The sequence below is a fragment of the Homo sapiens genome, chromosome 2, assembly GCF_000001405.40.
Source record: "Homo sapiens chromosome 2, GRCh38.p14 Primary Assembly".
Classification (NCBI taxonomy): Eukaryota; Metazoa; Chordata; class Mammalia; order Primates; family Hominidae; genus Homo; species Homo sapiens.
The window spans coordinates 193,979,913-193,983,836 of NC_000002.12; the positions used below are offsets into that span (position 1 = coordinate 193,979,913).

The following is a 3,924-nucleotide window of genomic DNA, read 5'->3' on the forward strand; positions in this document are numbered from 1 at the left end:
CAATGCATATACCCTCCAATAGCCAAAACAATCTTGACAAAGAAAATACTGTGGGGGGAATTATCTTAAAATTATGTTAAGGCTTACAATGTAGCTACATTAATCAAGATAGTGTGGTATTGATGGAAGGACAAACTTAATCTAAGAAACGGAATGAACAACTCTAAAATAGACCTACACAAATATGATTAACAAATTTTGATAGATGGACAAAAATAATTCAGTAGAGGAAGAAGCTATTCAAGTAAATAAATAGGTATCAGAACAAAGACTATTACCTGGAATAAACATGATAATTTTTTAAGGATAAAAGGATTAATTTATCAAAAGGACATAAAAATCTTAAATATGTGTGCCTTCAGTAAGAGAATTTGAAATAACTTAAAGGAAAAGATGATGGAACTGCTAGAAGAACTAGAGGAATTAATAATTATATCCAAAGATTTAAATAGACCTCTTTCAATAATTGGTAGAACAGACAGAAAATCAACAGGAACATAGTTGAATATGAAACCTACCCAAATATCTCATAGACCTTTTGTTGCAAATGTAGAAATTGACCCTTCTGGTCTTAAAGTTTGAAATTTATATTTGTTTTATCTGAGTTCTTTTCTCAGAAAACAACCAACCTTCATACCTCTCAAAAAAAGTGGCAAAGAACTAAAATTCACCAGATCACCACTTCCAGACAATTAGATGCCAGACCCCTCATTCATTATGATTGCTTCCTTAGGCCTCCTGGGTTCCTGTTTTCTTACACATTGTTACATTTCTTCCCTGCTGATTAAAACCCCTAGTTTTAGTGGGTCAGGGAGATTGATTTGAGACTGATCTCCCATCTCCTTGGCTGCAACACCCAATTAAAGCCTTCTTTCTTGGCAATACTCATTGTCTCAGTAACTGGCTTTCTCCGCGGTGAGCAGCAGGACCTAGACGGAACCTCTGGTGTTTCCATAACAATTAGATTACTATTGACCAATTTAATCAAGCTGACATTCGTTGAACATTCCACCTAACAACAACAGAATATATATTGTTATCAATTGCAGGTGGAACAATCATCAAGGTAGAAAATATTCTGGGTTATAAAACAAATCTCAATAAATTTGAATGATTCAGTTCTTACAAATATTTTATCTGACTCCAACTAAATTCATTAGAAACCAATAACAAAGGTGTCTTTGGAAAAACCACAAATATTTGGAAATCAAATAATGAACTTTAATTAGGTACCCATGAGTAAAAGGAAAAACCTGAAGTATTTTGAACTGAATAGAAATACTACATATCAGAAGTTTTGAAATGGCATTGAAACATTACTTAGGGGGATATTATAGTCTGAGATGCCTACAAAAAAATTTAAAAAATAGTCTCAAATCAATAATATCAGCTTCTGTGTTTTAAAAAAAGGAGAAAGAAGTAGAAAACAACAGGAACAGAAAATAATTGGAAGAAATAATATAATAAACCAAGCAGAATACAGCAAAATATAAAACAAAAGTGTGTATAAAACCTGACTCTTTGGGAAAAAAAAATCAGTAAAAATGATACAATTTCAACCAGACTAACTATGAAAATGGAAGAGCAAAAGTGGCCAAGACCAGTTAAGAGCTAGGAGGTGACATTACTAAAAACTCTACATATATTAAAAGAATAATAAGATAAAATTATGAACAACTGTATGCCTAAAAGTTGGACAACTTAGGTTAAATAGATAAATGCTGTACTTTGAAAGATACAACCTATTAAAATTTACATAAGATGATATAAATAACCTGAAAGGTCATATAGTAAATTTATTTAAAACCTTCCGACAAAGGTATCTTCTGCCCCAGATTGCTTCAGTGGTAAAATCTACCAAATTTTTCAAGAAGCAATAATAGTAGTTATACTAAAAAAAGATTGAGAAAATTGAAAATGAATTAATTCTACCCCACTCCTTTTAAGAAGCAGGTTTTACCCTAATAGTAAAACCAGAAAATTTATTATAATAAAAGAATATTTCACAAGTCATAAACATAGTGTAAAATTTATTTAAAAATTAGCATTTTTGAGTTTAATAATATATAAAAAGTATAAAATATTTTGATGAAGCCTTTCTAGGGATAAAGGGATCATTTAGCATATGAAAATCCATCAATGGAATTTACCATATTAATATTTTTAATTATATTATCATCTACATATATTCAGAAAAAGCATCAAAAGAATCATACATCGATTCCACATACAAATCTTCACAAAATAGAAATTGATTTATTTAACCTCATACAGACATCTTCAGAAATTATCAGGCTTAATAATGAAAGAATGAATGTGTTCCTCCTAAGATTAAGAACAAGGTAAGAATTCTTTTCTCATCACTTCTATTCAACATTCCCATGGAAGTTATGGCATCCCTGTGGGCTTTGCTCCTATATATTTTTTTCATGTTTTAGAAGAGTATGGCCAGATAAACTTCATAAGGACATCTCTTTTGCTTAACAGGTTGTATTCATTTTATGTCCAGTACCAAAATTTTTTCTGGCATCTAGAAAGTAGCAAATAAATATCAGTCAAATGGCTGAACAAATAGACACATGAATGAAAGAATGAATGAATGAATGAATGAACCAATCAATAAGGATCATGCTTCTGTGGTTAAGTCACTAGTCTTGCCATGAACCTTATACCTTTGATGAATATCATAAAGTCTTTTGTCTATAGGAAAGGAAAATAAAATTATGGGTAGATATTTTCCTTTCTTTCAAATACTTATGTGATATTTATATTATTTATGGTAAATGATTGCTGGCTTAATTTATTAAAAAAAACAAAAATTTAAATGAATTGTGTATAACATTTACACTAAAATGTAAATTACTTTAAATATATTGTGTCAGCTAATATTATTTGATAAAATTAATAGTCTATTTTTAGACTAAAATATTAAATTATTATGAAATCACTTCACTCGAGCCCAAAGTGTCATGCAAAGTAAAATGAAAAATCTGCCTTACTTCTGTTACCCAAGTTTAACGCCTAGAAGGAAACAGGCATGGCAGATGGCAATGCAGGGCCCTGGTGATGTTTGGTTGCCACTGAGACTGACTGTGCAAATTCAAAGTCAGAGAGAGACACACTCCTGCCAATCTTCAGCTTAGTTGATCCTCACATATTAACTGTCTTTCTCTTTCCCTGGAACAAAAGTACAACAAAATATTTTAATAATAATTAAAAAATCTAAGTAAATGAATGTTGAACATAATGTTTGTAATACTTACTGACTTAGTTATGCCTTACCTGTTGTTGTTGACGTTTGAGAAGAAAATCATTCTTGTTAGTCCAGACTATTTATAAGTGATCTTTTATTTTCCAAAATAAAGAAATGATCCGCCTTCTCGTGATTATATTCAAAATGCCTTATTCTCTGGATTAGGAGCTTTTCATTGCAAAATAGGGGGTCTAATAGTGAAAACAGGTCAATTAAATTGTAGTGAAATTATACTCCCAGACATATTTTCACAGCTTCTGATTATTTTAAGTAAAGAAGCTTCTATGTGCTACTTGTAGGACCCAAAAGTTTAGCTTATTTTCAATCATTTTTTAGTTGTCATAGAAGCAAATGGTACAGAAGCAAAGTCAAAATAACGAGTTTAACAACTCTTCGCTTGTTGTATCTAAGCTGTTCTATTTAATTGTGGAAAACATAAGCTGTTTAAAAAATACAAAGAAATCTTTGCTAGCTTTCAGAATATAGACTTTTGATTATATTTCTAGAGTCTAGAATGTGTTTTTGTTGCATATAGGTAATGCATATTCCAATTGAATACTGCTTTTTAAAATTAGTTATTATCATTGCCTTTTAACTAATGAATACAAAGCTTTTGAGGTCAAATTTTTTTAGAACTTATTTATTCATTTATAAAAACAGGCTTTAATCTA

At 30.2% G+C, this 3,924-nt stretch overlaps 1 annotated feature.

Moving 5' to 3' along the window:
* Window positions 587-1,134: an enhancer, noted in NCBI's record as "OCT4-NANOG hESC enhancer chr2:194845223-194845770 (GRCh37/hg19 assembly coordinates)". NCBI's record gives its function as "activates a minimal SCP1, AML or CMV promoter by ChIP-STARR-seq in naive H9 embryonic stem cells {active_cell/tissue: H9 hESC(naive)}" and the evidence as "EXISTENCE:reporter gene assay evidence [ECO:0000049][PMID:30033119]".